This window comes from Homo sapiens, chromosome 17, assembly GCF_000001405.40.
Source record: "Homo sapiens chromosome 17, GRCh38.p14 Primary Assembly".
NCBI lineage: Eukaryota > Metazoa > Chordata > Mammalia > Primates > Hominidae > Homo > Homo sapiens.
Window position 1 is genome coordinate 28,526,250 of NC_000017.11, and position 27,094 is coordinate 28,553,343.

General features: G+C 54.5%; 2 protein-coding genes across 17 annotated transcripts in view, besides 8 other annotated features; one reads left to right on the forward strand and one right to left on the reverse strand.

Annotated features, from left to right (window-relative positions):
• FOXN1 (forkhead box N1) overlaps positions 1-12,651 on the forward strand; it is a 32,553-nt gene extending 19,902 nt beyond the window's left edge. For 6 of the 13 annotated variants that reach the window (XM_011525358.2, XM_011525362.2, XM_011525359.2 and 3 more), the window contains 6 exons: positions 999-1,112; positions 2,845-2,975; positions 4,500-4,596; positions 8,082-8,289; positions 8,458-8,949; positions 10,868-12,651. In XM_011525358.2, the coding sequence (XP_011523660.1) occupies positions 999-1,112; positions 2,845-2,975; positions 4,500-4,596; positions 8,082-8,289; positions 8,458-8,949; positions 10,868-11,187 (1,362 nt within the window). In that variant the 3' untranslated portion in view covers positions 11,188-12,651. Of the gene's footprint in view, positions 1-998; positions 1,113-2,844; positions 2,976-4,499; positions 4,597-8,081; positions 8,290-8,457; positions 8,950-10,867 lie in introns of those variants that run through there. The other 7 variants (NM_001369369.1, NM_003593.3, XM_047436939.1 and 4 more) reach the window with 4 other exon arrangements.
• Positions 20,458-26,379, reverse strand: UNC119 (unc-119 lipid binding chaperone). 4 transcript variants are annotated; one of them, NM_001330166.2, is made up of 6 exons: positions 26,089-26,375; positions 25,816-25,843; positions 22,343-22,456; positions 21,750-21,852; positions 21,428-21,600; positions 20,459-21,160 (listed from the first exon to the last, which is right to left on the reverse strand). In NM_001330166.2, exons 3-6 carry the CDS (start codon positions 22,389-22,391, stop codon positions 21,048-21,050), a joined length of 438 nt encoding a protein of 145 aa, NP_001317095.1. In that variant the 5' UTR covers positions 22,392-22,456; positions 25,816-25,843; positions 26,089-26,375; the 3' UTR covers positions 20,459-21,047. The 4 variants fall into 4 exon arrangements, with proteins under 4 accessions (NP_473376.1, XP_011523761.1, NP_001317095.1 ...); NM_005148.4 differs by lacking the exon at positions 25,816-25,843; NM_054035.2 differs by lacking the exon at positions 25,816-25,843 and having other exon boundaries at positions 20,458-21,600; positions 26,089-26,379.
• Positions 20,685-21,522: an enhancer, noted in NCBI's record as "H3K4me1 hESC enhancer chr17:26873952-26874789 (GRCh37/hg19 assembly coordinates)". NCBI's record gives its function as "activates a minimal SCP1, AML or CMV promoter by ChIP-STARR-seq in naive H9 embryonic stem cells {active_cell/tissue: H9 hESC(naive)}" and the evidence as "EXISTENCE:reporter gene assay evidence [ECO:0000049][PMID:30033119]".
• Positions 20,685-21,539: a biological region, named in NCBI's record as "H3K4me1 hESC enhancer GRCh37_chr17:26873952-26874789".
• Positions 21,360-21,469: an enhancer, noted in NCBI's record as "active region_11929". NCBI's record gives its function as "activates an Ori minimal core promoter by ATAC-STARR-seq in GM12878 lymphoblastoid cells {active_cell/tissue: GM12878}" and the evidence as "EXISTENCE:reporter gene assay evidence [ECO:0000049][PMID:35858748]".
• Positions 21,490-21,539: an enhancer, noted in NCBI's record as "active region_11930". NCBI's record gives its function as "activates an Ori minimal core promoter by ATAC-STARR-seq in GM12878 lymphoblastoid cells {active_cell/tissue: GM12878}" and the evidence as "EXISTENCE:reporter gene assay evidence [ECO:0000049][PMID:35858748]".
• Positions 21,523-22,359: an enhancer, noted in NCBI's record as "H3K4me1 hESC enhancer chr17:26874790-26875626 (GRCh37/hg19 assembly coordinates)". NCBI's record gives its function as "activates a minimal SCP1, AML or CMV promoter by ChIP-STARR-seq in naive H9 embryonic stem cells {active_cell/tissue: H9 hESC(naive)}" and the evidence as "EXISTENCE:reporter gene assay evidence [ECO:0000049][PMID:30033119]".
• Positions 23,892-23,941: a silencer, noted in NCBI's record as "silent region_8341". NCBI's record gives its function as "represses an Ori minimal core promoter by ATAC-STARR-seq in GM12878 lymphoblastoid cells {active_cell/tissue: GM12878}" and the evidence as "EXISTENCE:reporter gene assay evidence [ECO:0000049][PMID:35858748]".
• Positions 25,992-26,041: a silencer, noted in NCBI's record as "silent region_8342". NCBI's record gives its function as "represses an Ori minimal core promoter by ATAC-STARR-seq in GM12878 lymphoblastoid cells {active_cell/tissue: GM12878}" and the evidence as "EXISTENCE:reporter gene assay evidence [ECO:0000049][PMID:35858748]".
• Positions 26,102-26,551: a silencer, noted in NCBI's record as "silent region_8343". NCBI's record gives its function as "represses an Ori minimal core promoter by ATAC-STARR-seq in GM12878 lymphoblastoid cells {active_cell/tissue: GM12878}" and the evidence as "EXISTENCE:reporter gene assay evidence [ECO:0000049][PMID:35858748]".

The window sequence follows — 27,094 nt, forward strand, 5'->3', positions numbered from 1 at the left end:
AAGGGGTTGGACACAAGTGCTCTTGGCCCTTCTAGGCCCGAGATTCTATGATTATGGCAATCTCTGCATCAACAACCCCAGGGCACACCCAGAGAGAGGTCACAGCTGATTTGCCCCTCTGGGCCCAGATGCTGGTTTCCCAAGGCCCCTGGTAACCCCAGGAAGTGCAATCCGCCTCCTCCAGGGCTTGTCCACCTTCCGGGGCCTAGCTGCACACCCTCCTGTCCGTACTCACCGGAGAGCTCTGCACTAGGCCCTGGGACTCTGTGCCGGCCTCTCACACATGGGAAGGCGGAGTCTGGCCATCATGGCTAGCAGCAGCTGCAGGCTCCCCATGCCCAGTGTGAGAGCATCCACAGGACTCACGCAGGCCAGCAACTGTGCAGACTCCCTGGAGCAGGGAGCAAAAGCTCTGCATCAGGGATGGCCAGGAGTCAGAGCGGAGAGGAGTTACTAGCCCCATTCAGAGATCCTGCTGGAGCTTCCTGGGGCTGTACAGAGGAGGAAACAGAAGGGACCCAGGCCCACAGCTGGACCAGCCTGTCTGGCCACTACCCATGCTCCCCTCACCATGGATCCTCAGGGAGAGTTCTGGAGCTGTGACCTTTTCCTGGTGTCCTTTGCACACCTACTCAGAGGGTCTGAGACCTCTGAGTCAGGCGTGTCGAGTGAGGTCAGCACCGTGCCTTTGTGCTATTCCAGAAGATCCCTGTCCCTACCCCAGCACAAGTCTCCCTGACTTCTCAGGACAGCCCAGCCTCAGCCTCTCCCCTGCCGTGAGGGGAGGCGTAGGGACTGCTGTCAGTTCCAGCCCCGGCTCTACCACTAAATTGCTGAGTTCCCTTGGGAAAATCTCTGCCCTTCTCTGTTCTCTGTTGTTCTCCAGGAATAAGCTTTGGGGGAAGCAGAATAGGGGTTGCTTTTATGTAAGGTTCAAGACACAGGAAAGAGGAAGGGAGAAAATAAGGCCTAATCTAGTCATCTGCTTTCTCTTCCAGCAGGGTTCAGAGGTCAAAGTCAAGCCCCCAGTTCTGGAGAGTGGTGCTGGGATGTTCTGCTACCAGCCTCCCTTGCAGCATATGTACTGCTCCTCCCAGCCCCCCTTCCACCAGGTGGGTCTGGGGCAAGTGGGCCTGCTTCCCCCAGGTCTGAGGATATCGTGTGTGTGTATGTGGTGTGTGGGTGTCTATGTGATGGCATGTGTTCACCAGGATAGGCAGATAAGGACAGCAGGGCCCTGAACCTTAGGCTTGGCCACAGCAGGTGGCGGGAATAGTTAATGGGAAGAGAAGCAATTGCCCTCCTCCAGGGGTGGGCTTGTCTGAGTCCCTGGCAAGGCCTGAGAGGCCTCAGATAAGAGTGTGGGGCTGAGATGGAGGCAGGGCTGTGATGTGAGCCAGAAATGGGGGAAGGAGGAGAGCTGCCCCAGACAGAGAGAGGGGCAAAGAGGAGTGTGGTGTGAAACACAGGCCGAGCAGGTCGAGGAACAAGGGCTTCTGTATAGTCAGCCACCATCTTGCTATGTGACCTTGGCCTCCAACTTCTATTAGCCTAGAAAGGGTGGGCACCCAGTGTGGGCTTAGGGGACCTTCCCACCCAGAGGACTCCAAGTCCCCATCATCTTCAGCCCTTTCCTCCTTTCCCAGCTTCAGCTCCTCCCAAGTGTATAGGATGCCAAGTAATTGCCCCACACTGGCATGGGATGGAGGAGTTTTAAAGGAGAAAGAAAAGAGCCCCAGAGCAGCCAGGCAGCTCCCAGGAGTCACCAGGCAAGACAGAGCAAGTGGCTGCCCAGCGCCCAGCTCCATCCACCTGCAGCCTGGCACTGAGACAGGCCCTGCCTGTGGAGCAGGTTCTGCACCCGGCTCTCTGGCACTGGCCCTGATCTCAGCCAAGCCAGGGAGGAAGGCAAGGGAGAGGGGCTGGGTCAGACTGCTGGCTTTGCAGGGAAAAGAAAGAGATAGAGGGAAGCAAAGAGAAGGCATGAGAGGACATCCTCTCTGCCATGAGGGGCCTGGGTGGAATGACCGAAGCTATCCTGAGGCTCATGGTCTGACCCAGGGTAGAGGATGTCCCTGAGGCAGGGACAGAGATTGAGCCACAGAAGGACTAAGGGGCCACCAGACCTTAAATGACCTCACCATGCCTGGCCCTGCTTTGATGGCCTCTGCAGTCTGCACCCCCTCTCAAGATGGCCACACCCAGGGCTTTATGGAGCCTGGACCGAGGTGACTCAGGCACTAAATGTCTCTTGGGTAACCTGGAAAGAGCTCTTCAGCCTGGAGCAGCTGGGGGAGTCAGAGTCTCCTACCCCCATCCCCCATAAAACACCATCCGTGGCACCGCAGCCACTCCCTTTGCCGTAAAACCACCTCCTACCCCGACCTGTCCACCACCATGACTGGCCCTTTCAAAGAGCCACTGAAACTCATAAAAGGTGGCAGTGCCCAGCAAACGCCCAGGCTGGACATCCTGCTTCCGGCCCAGCTGCTCTGGGAGATGCACAGGCACTGGGAGCACCTTCCTGGAAGGGTGCAGGGGCCGAGGGCTTCACTTCATACTCTCCCTGCAGGGTCCCGTCACCATAGCAACCAGAGCATCAAAAGGGCTGAGAGGAAGGAGCTGGAGGAAGAGGGTTTTAAGGCCTCTGAGATCCTGAATTACAGGGTGTGGATCTCCTCACAGCCCCTCAGACAGCTCTGCTTTGGGGGTGATGGGGCCCATGACCCAGGAGGGAAGAATCTGGCCTGAGCCCCTTCTCTGGATGTATATAAATGGGGAGGAGGGCCCTCCTGGGAAAGGCTGGGTACCATGCAATCACTCTGCCCCTTTTGACCTCCTCAGTACTCGCCAGGTGGTGGCAGCTACCCCATACCCTACCTGGGCTCCTCACACTATCAGTACCAGCGAATGGCACCCCAGGCCAGCACCGATGGGCACCAGCCTCTCTTCCCAAAACCCATCTATTCCTACAGGTACATTTCCCACTCTCCAGGGATGGGAGGAGGAGGGGAGTGAGAGGGCCCCTGGGAACACTGAGGCATGGAATCCTCTGGGTCTACCAGTAATGGCAGCAGGTGGAAATCATACCAGTGGGCTTCCAGAAGATGCTGGAGAGAGGGTTCCTGCATGAAGGCAGGGGCATAGACTGGATCAGCTCTGACCCTTTGTCTAAGCCTGGGGAGTCATGTCTGTGACTTGACTCAGCAGATGCTGGTGCCATGTGATGAGCCTGCCAAGGTCTCACCTCCTAGGGCCCAGGGCCTGGATCTGAGAATTTAAGGGGGATGCTTGCTGCCTTCCCTGTGCCTCCCCGGAAACAGACGGAAGCCCCCCTCAAAGCTCTACTGGAAGGAAATGGGGGATGAGGCCTGCAGATGTGACTCGGCTATCCACCATCTGCCAGATCTGGTGGGACTTCTCTGGGGCTGGGTTCTTAAGTGTCAGCAGACCCAGCCTGTCTGGGAGACCCTTCCATCTGTCCTTTCATTCATCCAACCAACAGTGACACTTGGCCAAATATGTGTCAGGCCCTACATGGGATCGGGTCATCAGCTAGTGTGAGCTGAGGGGAAGGGAGAGGAACTTAAGCATCAGCCAGGAGTGCAGAGAAGGGCTTTGTGAAAGGCAGGATCATTCACTGAAAGACATACACGCAGCTCTTGGAGTCCAGCAGAAATGAGTTCAAGACCAGCTGTGGAACTGACCAGCATGAAACCTCAGGGAAGTTACTTAATCTCTCTGAGCCTCTATTTATTCCTCTTTAAAAAAAAAAAAAAATGTCAGGGGTTGGGGGCAAGGGGAGGGACAACGTTAGGAGAAATATCTAATGTAGATGACGGGTTGACGGGTGTAGCAAACCACCATAGCACGGGTATACCTATGTAACAAACCTGCACGTACTGTACATGTATCCCAGAACTTAAAGTATAATAAAAAAAATAAAAATATAAGACTTTTAAGATTCAAAAGAAAAAAATGTCAGGGTTTGGGGTAGCAGTTCAGGCTGTTGGAAGGATTAAGTAAGAGAATGTAGGTACTGTGCTTGGTACATTGCATAGGCTCAAGAAACCTTAGTTCCCTCCCTACTCTCCAACATTCATGCAATTGGCTGAGGACTAACTAGTAATGACAGCTTCCGTTTAATGAGTGCCTTCTATGTGACAGGCACCATCCTTAATCCTCACAACTCTGAGGTAGCTATTACTTTCTTCACTTCAAAGTTGAGGAAACTGAGGTTCAGAGAGGGTAAGGCATTCACCCAAGGTCACACAGCCAGAGAGTAACTAGGCCAGGATGGCCACCCAGGTTTCTCAGATTCCACAAGACCCTCGCACGTCTGTAATTCCTGACTTCCGTGCTCACTTCAATGGACACCTTCTCATTCCCTTCTCTTTCACCTCCAATCCCATAGAGCCTCTCACCAGGGGTGGGGGGCTTGGGGTGGGCTCAGGACCCAGTCAGAGGTTCGGACTCTCAGGGGCTTTCTCTTTCTTCAGCATCCTCATCTTCATGGCCCTTAAGAACAGTAAAACTGGGAGCCTTCCCGTCAGCGAGATCTACAATTTTATGACGGAGCACTTTCCTTACTTCAAGGTGAGCCCAAGATTCCTCCCCATCCCATCACCCCCAAGTCCTGGACAGGCCAGGCCTCTCTGAGCAGAGGCTTCTGTCTGGAGGTGGGAGAAGAATTAGAACGAAAGCCAGGAGAGGGCTTACCCCCACCATGCTTTCCGTTGTCTCCACCTCAGAAGGACAGAGTTCCTACAAAAGGTGCTCCAAGTGGGGAACAGAGAGCCCAAGTGGCTCATCCAAGGTTGCACAGCAGACTGGAGTCAGACCTTCTGCTGGGGAAGGTGGGCAAGGTAGCACCGATGGGCCTCAGGGAGCATCCACCTACCCCAAGTGGGAAGAGAAAGTTGGAGAAGAAATAAGACACTATTGCTACCCCGACCGCTGGGATGCTGTGGGGCTGGAGAAGCTAGTCAGCCACGGTGACTGGGAGGTCGGGGCTGAAGAAGCCATTGCCTTCCAAGGTGAGATTAGGATCTATCTCTGTGGGTGGCAGGCTCAGCTGCAGTTCTGCCAGAAAGCGGGGTGTGGGCTTCCCAGTCTTTGAGTGTCCCAGGCTGGCTCACCTGACTCTCCCCCAACCCCTTGGGCAGAATCTCATTTCTATCATTCACAGAAGGCGCTTCTGGGAGCCTTACCCAGCTCCCTCTCTAGAGGCAGGACAGGGGCTCTTCTCCCAAGGTGGACAAACACATCAGACAGGGTGGTCCATTCCCCTAAGGTCGCACAGTAGATGGGATCAGTTACTGGATCAAGCTATTTGGCTTTGCACACCCCTCTCTGCGTGCCACCTAGACCCTCCAGCACAGACCCCCTTCTCCTGGGATGGGTATCAGGGAGACCAGAGATTGTGTGTGAGGAGTGCCTTCTCCAAGCCCTAGTAGACACAAATCTCATCTGTCACCCAGGCAGTGGGCAGTTGCTGAGACCCGGGTAATCCAGAACTCAGCTCCACCTGCCAGGGGGTGATTCCTGCCCCCACCATCTATGGTCCTGCCTGGGGATAATTTGACGCTTGATGTTCAAATAAGTTTATCCTGCTGGGCTGCCATCAGATGAGGAGTGGGCAAGTTGGCCGGAGTGGTCTGTCCAGGAGTGGAAAAGTGTGTTGATCCACCAGAGGTTCTGGAAGGGAAAGAGGGAGGGAGGTGAGTCGTCCCTGGAATTCAAGAAGCATCAAAGCCTGAATTCAGGGCTGCCCTCCATACCCCAGCAGGTCAGGGGCTGAACTCTCCCTAACCCCTAAAGCTTTTGGAGGGTCTTCTAGGGTTTCAAGGGGCCAGGGCAGAGAGAGGGAAAAGCCCAGTCCTCTCAGCCTTCCTTCCCCACCAGCTCCCGGCCTGGCCCCCACCCCTCCCCGCATCTCATCTTCCTGGCTTAATTATTTTTCCTGGGAGCCATGTAATCCCTGTTTTATGGGGCTGAGGAGTGAAGAGGTCTAACAGCTTTTTGTTCCCTTTGGTTCTAGTTGTTGCTTTTAGCCACTTGCATCACTCCCTCACTCCTGAGTTTACATTTGATCTCAGAGAGAAAGCATCTGTGAGGATGGGATGGGCCCCAGATTGTGAGGCAGGCCCTATGGGGTGACCTGGGCAGGGCCCTTAGCTGGGGGACAGAGTTGGAGGCTAAGCTCTGTCACTGCCTCCTTGTGTGATCCAGGGCTAGGCCCTTTCTTCTCTGAACCTCAGTTTCCCAGTCTGTAAAGTGGGTCAGATCCGTTGGCACATAGATTCCTTCTGACTCTGACAGTTCCCCTGTGACCCACCTAAGGAAATTCCTTAGTTCAAAGATCCCCCACCTCTTTCCATCTCTCACTTCCCTTTTGAAGATCATTTTTCTGGGCAAGGATAGACTGGACCCTGGAGTGGCCAGCACTCATGCCCAAGGCAGCTGCTGTGGGCATCCCATAGCCCCATGAGTCAGGGATGTGGGGCTGGGGAAGTGTCCAGCCACTGGACATAATTGTTAGTGCTGACCATCCCTCTTCCAAACAGGAAGTGGCTGGGGTGGGGGCTGCCCTGGCATCCCAAAGTCACAGATTCATGGGGCCATAAAAGGCCCCAGCGCCCATTAACTCCGCCCATGGGGCAACGTGGCCTTAACTCCTAGTGGAGACTGTGGTGGGAGTCGAAGGTGAATCCCTAGTTGGCTGGTCTGGTGGCTCAAGAATCCTCCCTGGTGACCCTGGGAGCCTTAGGGGTCATCTCAACCAGCAACCTGCCCCAGGCCAGCTGCCCCCAAGAAAGGCTGCACCAGGTCCTGCCAGCCACTTGGAGTGACGCTGGCATCAAGACCCAGTTCTGCTGGGCATGATTCAGCTTGGCTGCTCCCTGGGGCAAGTGAGCTGAGGAGGAAGGAGTGGCCGCCCCTCATTAAGCAGAAACTTTGGGCTGAAAGGGGGAGGGGCCAGGGAATGAGGGCGAAGGAGCCCCACCGGCCAGAGCGAGTGCCCTACCCACAGTCAGCCCCTGCTGAACTCAGGGCTGTCACAGAGCCTGGAACAGAGCTGGAGGTGGGCGGGCAGGGGGCCCACTGGCACTCCCGCCACCGCCTCTCACCCAACTGAGTCAGCCTAATGGTTTTTACAACCCTCCCTGGGCACAATTACCACACTGGTGGCATGACCAGGCCTCCTAATGGGTGTTTATTCTATTGGCACGAGCACCCCCCCCCACTGCCTGAGGGCTGGCCTCCCCACCAGGGCACGCCCCCTGGGCACACTCATGCAAACACTCACACCCACACATCATACGATCATGGCTACCCACAGTCACACCCAGAGAGACTTTCTCACACACAGCCATCCTCACAGTCGAGGAATTCATGGACCCATGAAGGAGTATCCAGGAGACGTTGCTTATGCCAGGATGACACACTTAGGGACGTATGCACATGCTCATACGCACTGTCCCTTCATATACCAAACCCACTTAGACACACAAACATATGTGCAATGCACACACCGCACACACCCAAACACTCACCAACCTCGCCCATCTTTCTTTTCTCCCAAGTTAGTCCCAGAGGGGATAAGGCAGACCCAGGAGAGGAGCATTCTTCCCCTAATTCCCCTGTCTAAAGCCAGCCACAAGACCTCAGAGTAATGAGTCCCCCTTCCACAGAGGGGTCCAAGCACAGGCATGGAGACCCAGTGGGGAGTGGCTCAGCTTCAGATGGGAGAGTGTTGTGGGTCAGAAGGCCTCTGTAGCGCCCACCAGCCCTGGCTTTCCGAATCACCTCGGCAGTCCTCTGAGGGGTCAGGAAGGGATGCGGGTGGGATGAAGGCAGATTTGAGATGAAAATAACTTGGGGTCAAGGTTCCTGTTCACCCGTCCCCTACCACCAAAGGGTACCAAGCAAGGGATGGGTGCTGAGGAGGACAACAAGCCCCAGAGTGGGCGGCAGCTCTGTGCCCAGAGGAGAAACAGGAGTGTTCTAGAACCCAGACCTGAAGCCCGCTCTGGCTTCCTGAGCCTGGCCTGAATGCTTGTCTTGCTCTGTTCCGGCAGACAGCACCCGATGGCTGGAAGAATTCTGTCCGGCACAACCTATCCCTCAACAAGTGCTTCGAGAAGGTGGAGAACAAATCAGGAAGTTCCTCCCGCAAGGGCTGCCTGTGGGCCCTCAATCCGGCCAAGATCGACAAGATGCAAGAGGAGCTGCAAAAATGGAAGAGGAAAGATCCCATTGCTGTGCGCAAAAGCATGGCCAAGCCAGGTGAGGCCGGCCGGGCCACGCAAGGAAGGGCCCAGGGTACTCATGAGCCAAAAAAAAAAAAAAGAGAGAATCAGAGAATGAGGCAAGGCCCCGAGTAAGGGTTCCAGTCTGGGGAAGACTGTGGAGGAGGGAGGTCTCATGGTGTTCTTTCTCTCTTGGGCCTTTCAGAAGAGCTGGACAGCCTCATTGGAGACAAGAGAGAAAAGCTGGGCTCCCCACTCCTGGGCTGTCCGCCCCCTGGGCTGTCCGGCTCAGGCCCCATCCGGCCCCTGGCACCCCCAGCTGGCCTCTCCCCACCACTGCACTCACTCCACCCAGCTCCAGGCCCCATTCCTGGCAAGAACCCCCTGCAGGACCTACTTATGGGGCACACACCCTCCTGCTATGGGCAGACATACTTGCACCTCTCACCAGGCCTGGCCCCTCCTGGACCCCCGCAGCCATTGTTCCCACAGCCGGACGGGCACCTTGAGCTGCGGGCCCAGCCAGGCACCCCCCAGGACTCGCCTCTGCCTGCCCACACCCCACCCAGCCACAGTGCCAAGCTACTGGCCGAGCCTTCCCCAGCCAGGACTATGCACGACACCCTGCTGCCAGATGGAGACCTTGGCACTGACCTGGATGCCATCAATCCCTCACTCACTGACTTCGACTTCCAGGGTGAGCTGGGGGTGGGAAAGGGAAGGTGGGACAGGACTGGAGAGGAGCACCTGGCAGTGGGACTCATCTTCTCCAAGTCTCCAGACTGCAGCCTGCAAGTGGCTGGGTTTCTGGTCAACTGAAGCAGAGGAGGCTGGACCTGGCAGGGGGAGCTTCCCACTTGCTCTCTGCCATCCAGAGAATGGGGAAAGAGGGATGTCCTTGCCCCTGTCTCCCTCCTCCTGGTGCTCCAAACATGGTCCAACTGACCTCATCATCAAACCACTCTTGGCAGGGCACAGTGGCTCACGCCTGTAATCCCAGCACTCTGGGAGGCTGAGGTGGGCAGATCACCTGAGGTCAGGCATTCGAGACCAGCTTGGCCAACATGGAGAAACACTGTCTCTATTTAAAAATGCAAAAATTAGCTGGGCATGGTGGCATGCACCTGTAATCCCAGCTACTCGAGGCTAGAGAATCACTTGAACCCGGGAGGCGGAGGTTGCAGTGAGCCAAGATCGTGCCACTGCACTCCAGCCTGAGTGACAGAGCGAGACTCCGCCTCAAAAACAAACAAACAAAAAAACCACTCTCAGCTCTGGAGAGACTGCAAAGGGCTCCGTGTTCTATTCTATACTCGATTGTGAGTGACCAGTAGTCTGAACATTCTCAGATGCATTTGCATTTTATCAGAGTTCATCTTCTAAAGCAGAAGGAGAGAGACTCTACCCTAGAGGAAGAGTCTCAGAGCTGGGCAAGTCCTGGAGAGATTTGGAGATAGGAGTTTGGGGAGGGTTCTACCCATTCCACTCCATCTTGGCTGCTCCGTCTCTGCAGATGGCTAAGCCCACCCATTCCCGTCTAAATTCCAGTGCATCCCAGGCCCTGATACTGGCCACAGGAGGTTTGGAACGGGGTGACGACCCAGGCCTCAGACTCTGTGTGCACAGGGGTGGGGGACATTCACAAGCTGATGGAGGCAGCCTGTCCTCAGAGAGCTCCCAACCCGATGGGGAGACAACCCAGGTTTAGGAAGCTATTAGAAAAGTGCACATAGATCCTCAGCCCAGTCCAGAAGTGGGGAGCAGGGCTCAATCAGCCTCAGAGGAAGCTATAGACATGTGGGATACGAAAAACATTTACTTGATCCCCTGCTAGGCATCAGGCATCAGGCTGGCTGCTCTCTATGTGCTTTCTCATCTGGGCCTAGAGGATAGGAAGGATTATTAAACCTGCTTCATGGAAGCACACAGAGGCTTGAGAACTTACTCTAGGTCACTTAGCTAGAAAGAGGGAGAGTTGGGACTGGAACCCAGGCAGCCAAATCCAATCCAGGGTTTAGTCAGGCCCTCTCTCTCCAGAGCTTGCAGCCTGGATACCCAGTGCAGGAGCCCCAGGCCCTGGTCAGCCATGATGAGGGTCCACAGGTGGCAGCACTGTTTGCTCCTCGGACTCAGGTGTGCATCCTGGCTCTGCTCCCATTCCCTGGGCCCTGCAGTGGAGGAGACCCAGGGAGCCATGCCCATCCATCCCATTAGGTCCAGAGTACACTGCCGGAAGCTGCTTGATCTGGGCTGCAAATCTACCTTCCTTGGGAGACTGGGCATGAGCCAGGGTTCACTCCCAAGTGCACAACATTGGCATCCATGCTGTCAGCCTGTCAGCAGGCATCAACCCCTCCCCAATGCCCACCCCCCAAAAAGAACCACAGAGGTCATCTAGATCGACGGCTTTCAGATTGTGCTACACGGGAGGAGGAATCTGAGGCTGAGAGGTTCAGCAACTGCCTGGGGTCACAAGCTAGTGCCAGGCTCTGTTCCCAGCACATGTCACCCTGACCCCTGCTCTCTGCAGCATGTGAAGATTGACAGGGAGGAGGGGCCAGACAGGGCTCCTCCGGTGCCTCCCAGTGACACCTGTTCTCTCCTTCCCCATCTAGGAAACCTGTGGGAACAGTTGAAGGATGATAGCTTGGCCCTCGACCCCCTGGTACTGGTGACCTCATCCCCGACATCATCTTCGATGCCACCACCCCAGCCACCACCTCACTGCTTCCCCCCTGGGCCCTGTCTGACAGAGACAGGCAGTGGGGCAGGTGACTTGGCAGCCCCGGGCAGTGGTGGCTCCGGGGCACTGGGTGACCTGCACCTCACCACCCTCTACTCTGCCTTTATGGAGCTGGAGCCCACGCCCCCCACGGCCCCTGCAGGCCCCTCTGTGTACCTCAGCCCCAGCTCCAAGCCCGTGGCCCTGGCATGAGCTGTGCCCAGCTTCGTCAGCTCCAGCGTTTGCCTGGTCTGGAAGTCCTGGCCGGCCGCCCACATCGGGCTCACCTTAAAGGTCAAGGAAGGAAAATACTACCTGTCCCCTATGCCACTAAGCCAACGTGTGTGTCAGCTGGTAGCTGGGGGCGCAGAGGACATCACCTGGGGTGCTGCCTCTCACACATTTCTGCCACGTGGTGGCCCAGCTCCTCACCCAGGGCCCCCAAAGAGCAAGCGTCTGGGCAAGAGGAAAATGCCCTGTCCCTAGCTCACACTCATCCACACTTAAGCCCTCGTGCACACACACAAATTATTCAGATGTACACCCACCCACATATCTTACAGCCAGAGGAACCAGCACTCCATCACTGAGAGCCCGACTTCGTTTCTGGGGCAACTGAGAGCTGAGCGCTTTGCTTACCAAAAGCTCAGGGCCCTGTGCCAGGCCAAAGATCCCCCCAGACCCCCATTCTGACATCCACATGCTCTGCAGTCCTGGCCCCCTCGTCATTTTCTTTCCCAGAAGCGCCCTGTATTTATTCCCCCATCTTCATCCCAACAGCCCAGCAAGAAGGAGGAGACAGAGAGCTCCTCCCTGGGTTGTCTGTGGACCCCCCCAGGAGCTGCTAATTGGCAGCACCCACTCAGCCATTCTCTACCCATCCTTAGTACATGCTCTGTCCAGCTTTCCCCAGGGTGACATACAGAAGGGGCAACATCTACCCGGGCACCAAACTGAGCCCAATTCCGAAGCAGTGTTTGGAAAAGCCCTTGCCCTCGGAAACTTGAACATGTCCTTTTTCCCCAGTCCCGGGTGCAGGAAGGGCCCCCTCCAGGTCACCACAATCTCACTCCTCCTCCAGAAAGAAAAGTTCACATAGTTTAGGTCCTGGCTTAACTCTACTTATGATGGTTCAACTTACACTTTTTCAACTTTAAGATGGTGCAAAAGCAATACACATTCAGTATGTTCCTCGACTTAGGATGCGGTTATGTCCGATAAACCCATTGTAAATTGAAACCACCGAAAGTCAAAAACCACTTTCGACTTACGATGTTTCCCACTCACGATGGGTTTCTCCGGATGTAGCCCCATCATAAGTTGAGGAGCACCTGTTAGTTACTTCCAACTGTCTCAGGCAACCTGGGCATTCAGGAGAAAAGCCTGGCACAGGGTGACAGGGAAGCACCCATGCAAAGCACCCCCGCTTTGACTGCTTGGCAGACCTAGGGTGCCCGGGAAGCACAAGGGATACCCTTGGCCCTGCGGGGTGTGGCCCAGGTGCCTGCCATGAGCCTGACCCCATCGAGGGGGAACCTCAGCCCACCCTGGGCCTGGGGGTGACAAGAACTTCCACAGGTTGGCCCCAGGCTTATAGGAGGCATAAGCAGATCCCGCGATGGCTTGTCATTGTCCCCTGTCCTGGAACAATAAAGCAAGTGCCTTGTGGTCTCACTACCAAGCTTTCATTTCTGGCCCCTCTCCCTAAGCAAAATGGCCAGGCCACACTGATGGCAGATGCCCTGGGCCTGTGACGTCCCTGTCACCCTCACCCAGAACTAGGAAGTTTCTAATCCAAAGAGTGAGGCATCTAGGAAAACTTCTTGACCCACTGGGGAGGCTGAGGAGCAGGTGAGCAGGGCCTCTTCCCAGGAGAACTTCCAAAGAGATGCAGGGAAGAGGCTGCCCTGGCCAGAGGAATGGAGGGGATGCCCTCCCCCAGACCCCTTGCCTCTGAGGTCTGCCCACTCCCTCTTTGCACCCCCATCTCCTCACACAAGAAGGAGTTGCTGCCCTGTCCAAACTGTGCCTTTCTGCTTCCAATCTGTCCCTGGCTGAAAGAGATGCCAAGTGGTTTGGGGCCCTGAGTTCCACAGGTGACAAAATGGAGCATGCCCTGGTGCTGTGTGCACTGCTGGTCCTGGAGAGTGGTCTCTGGATGGTCAGGGGCTCACTCAGTCCCACTTCAGACTCACCCCCTAGGTGTCACCTCCAGGTGGGGTTGGTGTCACCGCAGCACTGTCTCAAGAGAGATGGGGCAGATGTGGGAGCCAAAAGCACATACATGATCCCCAGGTCCCAGAGCAGCCACAAGTGGTGTCTCTGCTTAGAAAGCTCTTCTTGGATGAAGGCTGGGCACGGTGGCTCACGCCTGTAATCCCAGCACTTTGGGAGGCCCAGGCAGGCAGATTACCTGAGGTTGGGAGTTCAAGACCAGCCTGGCCAAAATGGTGAAACCTCATCTCTACTAAAAATACAAAAATTAGCTGGGCGTGGTGGTGGACGCCTGTAATCCCAGGTACTCAGGAGGGAGGCTGAGGCAGGAGAATCGCTTGAACCCGGGAGGCAGAGGTTGCAGTGAGCCGAGATTGGACCACTGCACACCAGCCTGGGCAACAGAGTGAGACTCTGTCTCAAAAAAAAGAAAAGAAAGCACTTCTTGGATGGCTAGGCACAGTGGCTCATGCCTGTAATCCCAGCACTTTGGGAGGCCGAGATGGGTGGATCACTTGATATCAGGAGTTCGAGACCAGCCTGAGCAACATGGTGAAACCCTGCCTCTGCTAAAAATACAAAAATTAGCTGAGTGTGCTGGTGGGCACCTTTAATCCCAGTTACTCAGGAGGCTGAGGCAGGAGAATCACTTGAACCTGGGAGGTGGAAGTTGCAGTGAGCTGAGATTGTGCCACTGCACTCCAGCCTGGGTGACAGAGTGAGACTCTGTCTCATAAAAAAAACAAAGCTCTTCTTGGGGCTGGGCCCAGGGGGCCAGCCAACACCTACCTCTGAGAGGATAGGTCTGCAAAAGACCCCATAATAGAACCCCACCTACCCCAGCACCCGCCCCAGCAGAGGCTGGAAGGCTAGATGCAGGGCTGGTGGGCTGAGGTAGGATAGGGAGTGGGGAAGGCATGGCCAGCGGGTGCACCCAAGAGGAAGGCCCACCTGCCCCAGCCTGGCCCTGGCTGTGTAGGAAGCAGGTGCAGGCTCTTTGCCAAGACCTCAGGCGATGTTGCACACCAGCTCTGTCCAACCCTGGGCCTGTGTCTTGATGACATCCAGGCCCCCAAACACAGGGCAAATGTTTCCTGGGAGAATCCTATTGGGACCCATTTGCTTGCCTCGGGTCCTGAGACTCTGAGAGCTCAGACAAACCTGCCTTATATACCCAGGCTAGGCCATCTCCTCCAGGAGACCCTCTGTCAAAACTCTGGCCAGTGGGCACATTCAGCACACCTGTGTGTGAACTGGCCCCTAATGCAAGAAGACAGGTAGCAAGCAGGTAGGACTTGGGTCTAGTTTTGTGTGTGTGTGTGTGTGTGTGTGTGTGTGTGTGAGAGAGAGAGAGAGAGAGAGAGAGAGAGAGAGTGTAACCAGGCCCTCAGACTTTTTTTAACTGGGCCTCAGTTCCACCCTGAAATGAGCCCCACACTCCCACTCATATGCTGCCCCCTGCTGGCCACCCCATACCAAGCATATAGCCATTATTAGAGTGAGCAACCATCTTTTTAATTTTATTTTTCTAAGTAAATATGGGGTCTCGCGATGTTACCCAGGCTAGTTTTGAACTCCTGAGCTCAAGTGATCCTCCCACTTCAGCCTCTGTTAGGTGCTGGGATTACAGGCGTGGGCCACCGCACCCACCTAATGTTTGTATTTTTTGTAGAGGTAGGGTCTCACTATGTTGCCCAGGCTGGTTTCAAATTCCTAGGCTCAAACAACGCCACCTCCTTGGCCTCCCTAAGTGCTAGGATTACAGGCATGAGCTACCACACCTGGCCAGGGTGAGCAACAATTTGTCTGAATGGATGCAGCGTCTTCAAGTCCGTTATTTGGAGGGAATTAATCCTTTTGCTCAGGGATTCTAAATGTGAGAGATCTCAAATGGATTAGAATTCCCAGGTCAGGAACTTGCATGAAAAAGTTACATCTTCATTTTCTCTCATCCTTACCTGAAATCTAGAATTTCCCTCTATTGTGAATGTCAGCAACAAATCACACTAGCATTGGCAATACCTGTGACTTTGTCAATAGAAATCACAGATATTTTGTAATTGTATTATAGATAGTACAAAATATGTACAAATATATACACATGCACACACATATACACACACATAAAGTAATTTGTCGCTTAACAACAGACATACGTTCTGAGAAATGTGTCCTTAGGCAATTTTGTCATTGTGCAAACATCATAGAGTTTACTCACACGAACCTAGATGGTAGAGCATACTGCACACCTAGAGGCTCTATGGGATAGCCTATTGCTACTAGGCTACAAACCTGTGTGGCATATTAGTGTGCTGAATTCTGTAGGCAATTGTAACACAATGCCTATGTGTGTTTCTACAACACATAGAAAAGGTACAGTAAAAAATACAGTATTGGCCGGGCACGGTGGATCACACCTGTAATCCCAACACTTTGGGAGGCCAAGGCGGGCACATCACTTGAGGTCAGGAGTTCAACACCAGCCTGGCCACCAAGGCGAAACCTCATCTTTACTAAAAATACAAAAAATTAGCCAGGCGTGGTAACACACGCCTGTAATCCCAGCTACTCAGAAGGCCAAGACAGGAGAATCTCTTGAACCCAGGAGGCAGAGGTTGCAGTGAGCCAAGATTGTGCCACTGCCCTCCGGCCTGAGAGACAGATCAAGACTCCGTCTTAAAAAACATATATATATATATATATATATATATATATATACAGTATTATAATCTTATGTGACTGTCGACATATATGTAGTCTGTCATGACAGACACATCGATATCTAGTGCATGATTGTAGATACACACACACACACACACAGTCATCTCACAGTGGTTCCAGGGCCTCCCACAAATTCCAAAATCCATGAATGTGCAAGTAAGTCCCTGATATAAAATGATGGAGTATTTGCATATAACCTACACACATCCTCCCGTATACTTTAAATCATCTCTAGATTACTTATAATACTTAATACAATGTAAATCCTTTGTCAATCATTGTTATACTGTACTATTTAAGGACTAATGACAAGACAAATGTCTGCACATATTCAGTACAGACATTTCTGATGCACAGTTGGCTGAATTCACAGATGCGGAACCTATGGCCAATTGTATATAGTTTTTAATACATAAAATAAATAGGATAGGCCTGGCAGGGTGGCTTACGCCTGTAATCCCAGCACTTTGGGAGGCCAAGGCAGGAGGATCATGAGGTCAAGAGATCAAGGCCATCCTGGCCAACATGGTGAAACCCCACCTCTACTAAAAATACAAAAATTAGCTGGGTGTGGTGGCATGCACCTGTAGTCCCAGTTACTCGGGAGGCTGAAGCAAGAGAATCGCTTGAACCTGGGAGGCGGAGGTTGCAGTGAGCCGAGATTGTGCCACTGTACTCCAGCCTGGCAACAGAGCGAGACTCTATCCCAATAAATAAATAAATAAATAAATAAATAAATAAATAAATAGGATAACAATATATTTTATGTTCCTAAAATCCTTTTTATTGTCCATAGGCTTTAGCAGACTGACAACAAGAGAGTCTGTGACACATAGAAAAGTAAAGCAAGGGGCTGGGCCTGTAATCCCAGTAGTTTGAGAGGCAAAGGCAGAAGGATTGCTTAAGCACAGGAGTTCGAGACCAGACTGGGCAACATGGCAAAACCCTATCTCTACAAAAAATTAGCTGGGTATGGTGGCACATGTAGCTTCTGTAGTCTCAGCTACTTGGGAGACGAGGTAGGAGGATTGCTTAGGCCCAGGAGTTTGAGGCTGCAGTGAGCCATGATTGTGCCACTGGACTCTGGCCTGGACAACAGAGCGAGACCCTGACTCAAAAAAAAAAAAAAGGGTAATGTCCTTGCTTTAGTTGCCAGATGGTGGGGAAGTGGAGGGTGACTCTTAGGGGAGGGGCCAGGCTAGGGCGGCCTGGGACAGCAGCTTTTTAACAGCTGGAAGGGAAGATCTTAGTATTTTAACCACTGGTTTGGCAGTCCCAGTGAGCACCTTGCCGGCCAGCCCAGGAGGGCACGAGCTGTGGGTTTCCCTGTGGTACTTGGGCTTTCCTTCTCTACCCAGGGGCAGGATCCTCATGACACCCCTAAAGAGTCAAAGCAGGCCAGGCACGGTGGCTCAGGCCTGTAATCCCAGCACTTTGGGAGGCCGAGGCGGGCAAATCACCTAGGTCAGGGGTTCAAGACCAGCCTGGCCGACATGGTGAAACCCCGTCTCTACAACAATACAAAAATCAGCCGGGCATGATGGCTGGTGCCTGTAATGGGTCCAGCTACTTGGGAGGCTGGGGCAGAAGAATCACTTGAACCCGGGAGGCAGAGGTTGCAGTGAGCCGAGATCATGCCATTGCACTGCACCCTGGAGATCATGCCATTGCACTTCACCCTGGGCGACAGAGCGTGACTCCTTCTCAAAAAAAAAAAAAAAAAAAAAAGAGTCAAAGCAAAAATGACTGGCCCATTTCAGAGACAAAAGGGAATTGCCCCTTCAAGGTCAACAGCTCATCAACATCAGAGCCAAGACTAGCCCCACCTCCACCCTGTCTTCCTCCCAGGCAGCCTCTAGGTTCCTAGGGACAGTGCCAGGAACTAAATGCAGCAAGATGTACCATTTGCAATAGGACTAGTGCCAGAGGCATGAAGACTTAAAAGAAGGCATGGGGCCAAGGCTTTTCCCAACCTAGGCTCCTCCAAGCCCAAGGAACGCAGGCCTCTTTTCAAGGTGAGTGCCAACTGGGTGCCTACTTCAGAGATGAGAACCTCAGAATAGGGACCCTCCTCTCTCTCTGAAGATGGAAGTGCAGCAGGCCCAATCTAGAACCTCAACCCAGTTTTACTTAGCAGCTGCAGTGAGTAGAACTATTATCAGGGTATTGGGAAAAGGTCCTCTTCCTTGCTATACCTTCTCTGCAGACTTGTAACCCCATAAACTACAACAGCAAAATCACCCCTATACTGGCCTTTCTTTCATACCTGTACAGCCTCATCTGCAAACAAATCCCTCCCTTCCACATTCTTGTCCTCATTCTCCTTCTTTACCTTTGTGGCAACTGATAGTTCCTGCCCACTTGCTTTGTGATGAAATTCTTTCCTCCAAAACATGGCTCTGCTCCCACCTCCCTGGAGGCTCACTCCTCCTGTCTCCATTGTTTCCTTTCCTTCCGCCCTGCTCTCAAACACTGGCCTTCCCTAAGGTGATACATTCTCGTTCAGGCACCCTCAATTAGGGGATGGGGATTTGTATTATAATAGCATTGTTTGGGAGAATCCCAGTAATTGCAGGACATTTGGCATTCCTAAATAACAAGAGTGTCAGTGGAGGACCCCATGATCTCAGCCACCATCATAGCTTCAGAAATCACCTTGTGGCCGATGGCCTCGACAATCACCACCTCCAGCCCTTATTCCCCTCCTGGTCTTAGGGCCCACCTTTCCTGTCTTCTGGTAATTTCCTCCATGCCACAGCATGTCCCAGTCTGAAGTCACCCTCTCCTGCTGGCATCCACCTTGATCCAACCTGCATTCCCAAACCCAGTGATGGCACCTGTAGCTACCCCAGCACCCAGGCCACAAACCAGGCAGTCAGCCTCACCTCCTCCCTCTCTCCAACCCACTCATCCAATCAGCCACCACTCCTGAGGATCTCACCTCTTAAAAATATCAGTTTCACCTGTTTCTCTCCATCTTTGAGGATACTGACCTAATTCAGTTTCTCTTTCTCTCTCACCAGATTCCTGCAGCACCCTCCTCATCCTCACTGCCCCCCTGCCTTTAGTATGGTAGTGCATGGAGCCGGACTGCCTGGATTCAAGTCCTGGCTCTGCCACTTCATAGCTGTGCAACGTTGGCTGGGTACATTAACCTCTCTGGACCTACATTTTCTGTAAAATGGGCATCATAATAGTGCCTTCCTCAGAAATGACCATGTTTATGAGTTAACACATGTAGAGCACCCAGCCTGGCACTCAGTAAATCTTGGCTATTAGTGTCATTCTTTCCAATCCACCATTCACTCAGCAGCCAGAGATAATCTGACCAGGTCATGCCCACTTAATCCTCCACAGGGGCTCCCCACTTCTCAGAAGCCCTGCTCCTAAGGCTCTGCCAATCTGTCTTCTTTTCACATCATATTGACTCTTGAACACACCTAGGCTTATGCCCATAATCCTGGCACTTTGGGAGGCCAAGGCAGGAAAATCCCTTGAGCCCAGGAGTTTGAGAGGGAGACCCCATCTCAAATAAATAAGTAAACAAACAAACAAACACCTGACAAATCTTGCCTCTGAGCCTTTGTTTATGCTGTTCCCTGTGCCTAAGCACTCTTCCCCATCAATTTCCATCACAAGCACCTGCTCCAGTGCTACCTCCTCTAAAAATCCTCCCCAGAACCCTCCACACAGAACGACTCTGATTCTTGCTCTCCGTGTCCCCAGTCCTTTTTTTTTCCCTAGGGACGAGTATGTGTTCCTTGTGTCTCACTCATTTCAGAATTCCCAGAATTCAGTGCAGATCCTAGCTCCACCCCACTTCCCCCAGCAAGGGCTTCACAGAATCAAGCTGAATGCCAGCACTTCTGGGCCTCCTAGGGCCAGAGCTCCTCAGCCCAGAGGGTGCGTCAGCTCTGGGCATATCTGAAGGAGGGCCTGAAACTGTAGGGTGTGCTCTCTGCCCACCTCAGTTCCTGAATTTCCTCCATTAAGCAGCCCCCTCCTCTGAGTCTGGGGTGGGGGTGGAGGCTGAGGGCAGTGTTATGTGCAGGGCTACCCAGGCATGGGGGCTCCCCAAGGCAGCTGAGGGCAAGGAGATGGCTCCAGGCCTTAGCCAAAGCCCTGCCACCGTCTATCATGAGGGCTAAAAACACAACCCAGTGGTCCTAGTGGCCTCTGGGGTTCAGGGAAGGTAGCGTGGAGGACAAGGCCAAACCCCCACCCCCCACACCTTCCCCTTGCACCCTGGAGTTCAGGGCCTTTGTTTCGGCCTCTGTTCTGCCAGGGTTGGCTCTGACTTTGGGCCAAAGCTTCCCCTCTCAGGGTCTGGGTCTCCTTCATCACAAGAAAGACCCTCTCCAGCTCCATCATGTTCTAAATGCTGACTCTATATGGTGTCAGGGTACAGAGAATCAGGGGACAGGAAGACTAAGGGGTGAGAGTGCACTGGAATGTGGGAGGTAGGAGAAATTTTTACTGCCTTAAGCACATTCCTGCCTATCCCTGCTCCCTTCTTTGCCCATACACACAGAGGCTGGCCACACCAGAGAACAGAAAAGGAAAAAGTTTATTGAAAACTATATACAGTTGGTCCAGCTCCTACCATGGGCTGCAATCTCAGCCAGTCCCTCCCACACCTTAGGCAGTGTCTTGGCCCCTCATGGGGAGGGATGGGGCTAGGCCTAGGGCCCAGACTCCCTTGGGTGGCTTGGCAGCTGGAGCCCACCGTGGATCTTTGTAAATTTACAACTCTAAATGGCCTGAAGGTAGTGGGCAGGGGACAGGGAATGGATCCCTGCCTGATCTAGTCACAGCCTTGATAGGGGAACACTATTCTGAAACTTGGGCCCAAGTAGGGCCCAGCTAAGTTGTCCGGAAGTCCTGACTGCTCCTCTCACAGGCCTTCCTAGACGTGGAGGCAAACAGCCTCCCTACGACCCCACCCCATGTAGCAGGCCGCATGGGCTTCATGGGCTTGACTGGGGACACCAGGTACCCTTCCTCCCAACATTGACTCAGGGTCCGGAGCTCCTGGAGAACTCCCCAAGCAGAGGACTTGGGGTTGAGGGGTGAGCGTTGGGGAGGTCACAGCTCCCAGCCCAGAACTGGAGCCTCCTGGGGTCAGGGCAGCCGTGGGGTCAGGGTGTCCCGCTGTAGGAATAGTCTGCTTTATTGTGCATCACCAGCCGGTCATCCACGAAGTAGAAGCTGTCAGACTGGGTCTCATACGGGTGGCGGATCATCTCGCTGACTGCAAGAGAGGCCCAGCCAGGCCGGGCAAAGGTCAGGAGCTTGAGTCCCGCCACTGCAGGGGCTTCAGGACTGGGGTACAGGGACAGCCAAACAGCCTGAAATATCCCCAGCCTCTTTCTCTACGGATGATATGGGAATGGTGGCAGACACAGAAGAGCCCCAGGGTGGGGAGAAATGGGATCAGACCCACAAGTCCCTCTCCCTCCCGCAGCTCAGTCTCTAGACGCCCCCACTTCCCCACTCCCAGAAGACCCTGCCCGCGCACTCAGCTCCTCGGAGAGAGGGGGGAAGTCGTAAATGTGCTCGCAGGTGTTCTTGCTGCTGGGGATGCAGAAGCCAAAGTGGAAGTCGAAGCTTTTGAGTAGCTGGTTGCGGAAGTAGTGCCTCTCGATCATGCGGAAGTTGTTGACAGGCTTGTCTCCCACTGTGAACTCCACCCTGAGCAAGAAAAGGAGGCAGGGCTAAGTCTGTCCTTGAAGTCAACTAGCCAGCCAGGCTCAGGACAGGCCACCCCTACGAGAGGCTGAGAAGGGCCCACTCACACCCTCTCCCTCACCCCCACCACCACCCATAGCCCAGCGACTCACGTGGCTCCCACCTGCCTCAGGCGGAGGAAGGCAGGCGTGAACTGGTAGCGGACAAAGCGCCCAGCATTGGGGTCCAGGTCCCGCCGGTTGATGGGCAACCGTTCTGCAATGTACCCCAGCTGGGGCTCAGTGGGCTTCAGGCTGGGCCCTTGTCCACCCAGGGTTCTACCCTTGGGTCCCCATCTATCTGATTTTTTTTAAACTCCCCAAGAAATTCCGGGGCACACTGAGGGCTCAGACCATTGGCCAAATAGTGCCACCTAGGGGTTCTAGGTCTGCATGTTCCCAATCGCCACTGTGCTTCCCCGGGCCACAGGATGCTGAGGCCTGGGACCCGTAGGACTGCAGTTCCCAGAGAGCCCTGCAGAGGGCAGGTTGGCAGGGACCGAAGGGGTAGGGCTGACCTCGCAAGATGTCCAGCCTCAGAAACATATGGGAAGGAAAAGAAAGGGCCCCCCTGCCTGCAGACTCCTGAGAATGCTGGGGTCCAAGCCCCAGCTCTGTGGACTCCTCTGTGGCCCAAGGATTCCCTGGGCAGCCCACTCCGCAGCTCCTATCTGCCTCCCCATCAATGGCCCACCCAGCCCACTCACCTGAGACTGGGGGCTTCTTGATTTCAAAGAGGACAGTGCCTGAGTCCATGTCCCGAATCTTAAACCTGACAAAGTCGATCTTGTAGATATTCTCCTCAGGGGAGCAGAGGTAGTCTAGGGGAAACAGGCAGCTGAGCAAGGAAGGGGCCGCAAAGCCCCTGCTGCCAGGTCAGCTTGTGTGGGACCCCAGAGTAGCTACCATCTTCTCATCCCTGGGATCACTGCCCTCTGGAAAGAGGGACCTCAGTCCCTGCCCTTGGGGTACACCCCCAGTGTGGAAGAGACATAACTCCGCCATGGGGATCTAACAGGGGATAAGGAGTGCCATCCTACTGGTCTCTGGGGGCCAGGGAAGGGCAGGGCAGAGAAGGGTAGAGGACAAGGCCACCTCCTGAACACTCTCTCTCCCACTCTGGAGTTGAGGGTCCTCATTCTGGCCTCCGCTCTGCCAAGGCTGGCTAGATGACTTTGGGAGAATTAGGTATCCAGCCTGGTGGGAGCCTCTCTTCTCATATGGGAACAACTTCCTGCAGTCTGACCTGTCTCTTCTACTGCAACTCAGTGTATCAACTTCTCTGGTACCCTGCCTTTGAGAACCACCTGTAAAGGGGGCCACACAGCTCTGTCTTGGGAGAGTCACTGTCCTTCTCTGGAGGATACTCCTACCCTCACCCCACAGCTGCCCCTGGCATGACATCTAGATGTATCAGGTGAGGCTGATGTTAAGGGGACTTTCCCTGATATGGGTGGGGCTGGGGCAGGTGAACAACCCCTTCCCTATTCCTCCTCTCCTCCAAACCCCCTCCTCTCAGTAAGAAGCTTACACCAGCCCAGCTCCCTTAAGCAGCTTAACCAAAGCTCTGCTGACTCAAGCCCAGAGCCTGGGATATGGCAGGTGGGAGGAGGCCAACTTTGCTCTCATCCTTTGTTGATCTCCAAATGGGAGGAAGTCTTAGCAAGCAGAGAGAACCCCCTTAGAGGTCATTTACGCAGCCCTGGCTATGAGCCACCACCATGGAGAAAGTAGTCCTGGACCCCCATAGAGAAGAACACAGGCTAGGCCAGGAGGAGGGTGTGGCAGGTGCAGCAGTGGGTGTGGAAGGGGTAAGGGGAGTCCTCAGGCCCAGGAAGGGAACCAAGAACAGTGGGAGGCCCTGCCTGAGGAAGCTCAGGGAGCTACAGGGCCTGATCTAACCCTCACAGCTCTTGCAGCAGCAACTTCAAGTGCTCAGGGAGGCCCTGGCAACAAAAAGAGCTGAGAGGTGCAGGGAGGGACTCGTGCTGTCAGCCTGCACAGCATCACATCCTCCCCTGGTGGCCCACAGAGGCCTGGAAATCACCCTCCAGGCCCCTGGGCCACCTCCTATTCCTCTGGGGCAGGAACAGGAAGTGAATATAAAGTCATTTTCTCTTCCCCAGGTCTGCTTCTTCCCCAAGCCTGACGCTGTCCCCTCCAGGAAGCCCTCCTGGCAGCCATCTGGTACCCTGGGGCCCAGCATGGACTTTATACAGCTTGGGGAAGAGGCAGGGCCCTGAGTCTACTACAGCCCACATGTGGGGTGGGGAGAGAATGGAAGTGGGCAACCCCTATCTCACCCCATTCACCCTATTTTCACAGAAAGTAAGCACCAGTATAAAGACATAGAAAGAAGGTACAGAGCATAGGGAACGGAGGTGGCAGAGTGGGGAGCAGGATCCCAGTGCCCAACTCCCAGATCCCTGTAAGGCCTTCTCTTCTCCCATTCTCCAACTTTTGGAGCCTCTCTCATTTGGGAACAACTTCCTGCAGTCTAACCTCAGTCTCTTCTACTGCAAACTCAATCTATCAACCTCTCTGTCCTTAGAAGAAGTGAGGAACACGGATATCTATGGCTCAGAACACCACGGCCACTCCTTCTCTTCTAGAAAGGATGAGGCCTGGGACCCAGGGTCAGGTCAGAATAAGGGGCAGAGTGGCCAAGGGCTCAGAACACAACTGCTCTATTCCTCTCAGCCACAAATAGCTTCCTAAGCTGGATTCAGGGCCCAGTAATCTGGGAACAGCAAACCTCAGACCTGCATGATTAGGGTCAGAAGAGACCAGGCAAGGGGTGCCAGGGTGGAAATCCCTGGAACTCTGTTCTCAATTCCTGCACAGGAAGGGGTTCTCATGAAGCCCTTTCCTCTACTTACCCTTCACAGATGCCCCATCTCTAAGGGCTATGAATTTCCTCCAAATTAGGAGACAAATGGTGGTACATGAGCTGGAAGCTCCCTCTAGTTGCAAAATAAACCCCCAAAGTTACTCAGGACTCAGTCAGTCTGAGAAAGTTCTGCCCCAGAGCTAAGCTGAATCCTAAATGCTGCTATTGCAAATTGTAGCCCAACTGGCTTCAACATCAGCCTGGTCCAGCCTCCCTCTCTCCATTGATGCCTGCTTGGGCAAGGGAGCTCAGTACTCTGGGGGCCCAGCTAAGAATGGCTGCTGCCTAGCTCAGTAAGGAGAGAGGAATTGGCCCCCAGGGACCCAGGAGCACAGGCTCAAGGCTGTCTCCCCTCCACAGCTCTGTCTGGGAGTCCGGTGTTCTGCTGCTTTGGAAGCTCTAGGGCTCAGGTCCACTCCAATACATGCCCCCCATACCCACAGAGAGGCCCCCCCCAACAGTTATTCTCACAAAGGGGGCCAGGGCAGGTTGCTGGTGAATGTGGCCAAGGTGGAGAGCCACTGTCTCTCCATGCACCTTTCATCCTTTGAGGCTCATCCAAAGCCTCTGCTATGAGGTTTCCTAGCCCTCGTTCCCTGCCTATGATGACCCCCTCCCCTGCCCTGAAAGCCAAGTTGTTTGACTCCAGGCAGCAGCTATGAGCAGCCCTGTAGGGCCCAAAAATACTACTGATCAAAGAGCCCAATGTACACAGCATGCATAGATGCCAGGCACTGTACAGAATCAGAGGACTTATCTTCACAATAATCTTACGAGAAAGGTATCATTATCCCCATTTTACAGATGAAAAGACATGCTCAGAGAGGTGAGGTTACTTGCCCAAGGTCACACAGACAATTATATGGCAGAGTTGGAACTCCAACCCAGGCAGTCCAGCTCAGAAACTCTTAACCACAGTGGAGACCAAGCCTCCCTTGATGACAGAGCCCCCAGAAGAGGACAGGTGCTAGTCCAGGCTTGGAGGGACATTATGCCACTCCCCATGAGAGGAACCACAGCCAACACACTAAAGCTGCCTGCTCAGTTTCTTTCCCGGGGAAGAAAATGGCCCAAGTCTTCCTGGAGGATCAGGGTGAGGGTATTAATGGTTGGGGAGACATGAAGAGTCTGAATGCCTCCCAAGTAACTCAGCCTCCACCTAGCCTCCAGCGTGGGGGCTGAGGACAGGCTGCACTCAGCCCCTCTCTTCATTAGTGCAGGGACGGGCCTCAAAGCGCTCTGGAGACTCCACAGCTACAGGGCTATGGTTGCAGCTGCTGCCGCACGTACCTCCACGCTGGGAAAAGGGGACGGGCCCCTGGAAAAGGAAGGAATAAATCTCGAAAGGGAGAAGAAGGAGGCACAGAGAGAGATCAAGGGAAGGGGGTACACAGAGATCTCAGACCTGGCGGCAGAAGGGAGAGCAGGGGACACAGGAGAGGGGACTCGGTGGGGGAGGGGAGGCGGGAAAGGGGGCGGGGGCCAGGGCTTGGCGCGCCGGGAGGGCCCCTCGCACCCTCTCCCCTTCCCACCCGCGGGCGGCGCTCCCTCGCGGGTGCTCACCACCGGTGATCCGCTGCAGCCCCAGCACGTCCTCCGGCCCGATCGGCTGCTTCCTCTGCAGCGGCCCCGGCCTGGGCCCTGGGCCTGCGTCCGGCTCCGACTCGGACCCAGATTCGGATTCCGCAGGCGGCTGTGGTATGGGGGCCACGCTCTGGCCCGAGGGCCCCGGAGCGGACTCCGTCGCCGTCCCGGCCCCACCGCCGCCCTTCTTCACCTTCATGGCCTTGCGGGGCCGAGGCTCGCCTGCTGCTGCCGCCGCTGCCTGCGCCGGCTGGAGCCGGGGGAAGTGGGAGCATCCGCAGCCCCGCCCCCGGCCGGGGCCCCAGGTACTGCCCCGCCCCGGCCCCGCCCCTGGGGTGGGCCCTGCGCTGATCCCGCCCGCCGCCCGGCCCAACCCTCCCGAAATGCGACGGGCGCGGGGGATGGGAGTCGGGGTATCCTGCCCTGGGCTTCATTCTGTTTTTCTAACACTTTCTTGTACTGGTACTAGTGGGGTCCTGACTACCTCTCCGCTTACTCATTGTGTTCCAGCCTTTCTGCCCGTGAGTTCCAGGCTCAGGGTCTCTGCTTGGATGGTCTTCCCCAGATGGCCTCTTTTCTCCTAGTCACAGCTCAAATGTCATCTGCTCAAAGGGCCTCCCTCACACCCAGTCTGAAGTCCTTCCCCCTCAGTCACCATCTGACCAGCCTGTTTTTGTCTTTCTAATGCATTATGTGAAATTATTTTTATTTGTCCGCTGACTCTTCCCCCTGAAAGCTCAGCTCTGTGAAAGCACTGGTCCTGCCTACTTTGTTCTCTGTAGGACCCCTGTACCTAGCAGAAGGCTCCCTGCAGCTGGTGCTCAAGACTTTTTTTTTTTTTTTTTTTTTTTTTTTGACCTGATGAATTAGTATCTCAGGTAAAAAGCAGATGCTAACAGCCTTGGGCAATCCAGCTAGGAAGGGCACATGGCCACGTGGAAGCAAAGTGGACCTGTGGGCACAGGAGGACAAACACCAGGAAACT

What these genes read in the sequence shown, in the direction of transcription:
- UNC119 (NM_005148.4), bottom strand. Translation starts at nt 26,308, where the DNA reads ATGAAGGTGAAGAAGGGCGGCGGTGGGGCCGGGACGGCGACGGAGTCC. An exon ending in GCTGCAGCGGATCACCGGTG is followed by an intron (nt 22,457 to 26,088) that starts GTGAGCACCCGC and finishes TGTTTCCCCTAG; the next exon opens with ACTACCTCTGCTCCCCTGAG. An exon ending in CCCTCTCTCCGAGGAGCTGA is followed by an intron (nt 21,161 to 21,427) that starts GTGCGCGGGCAG and finishes CCTCTCTTGCAG; the next exon opens with TCAGCGAGATGATCCGCCAC.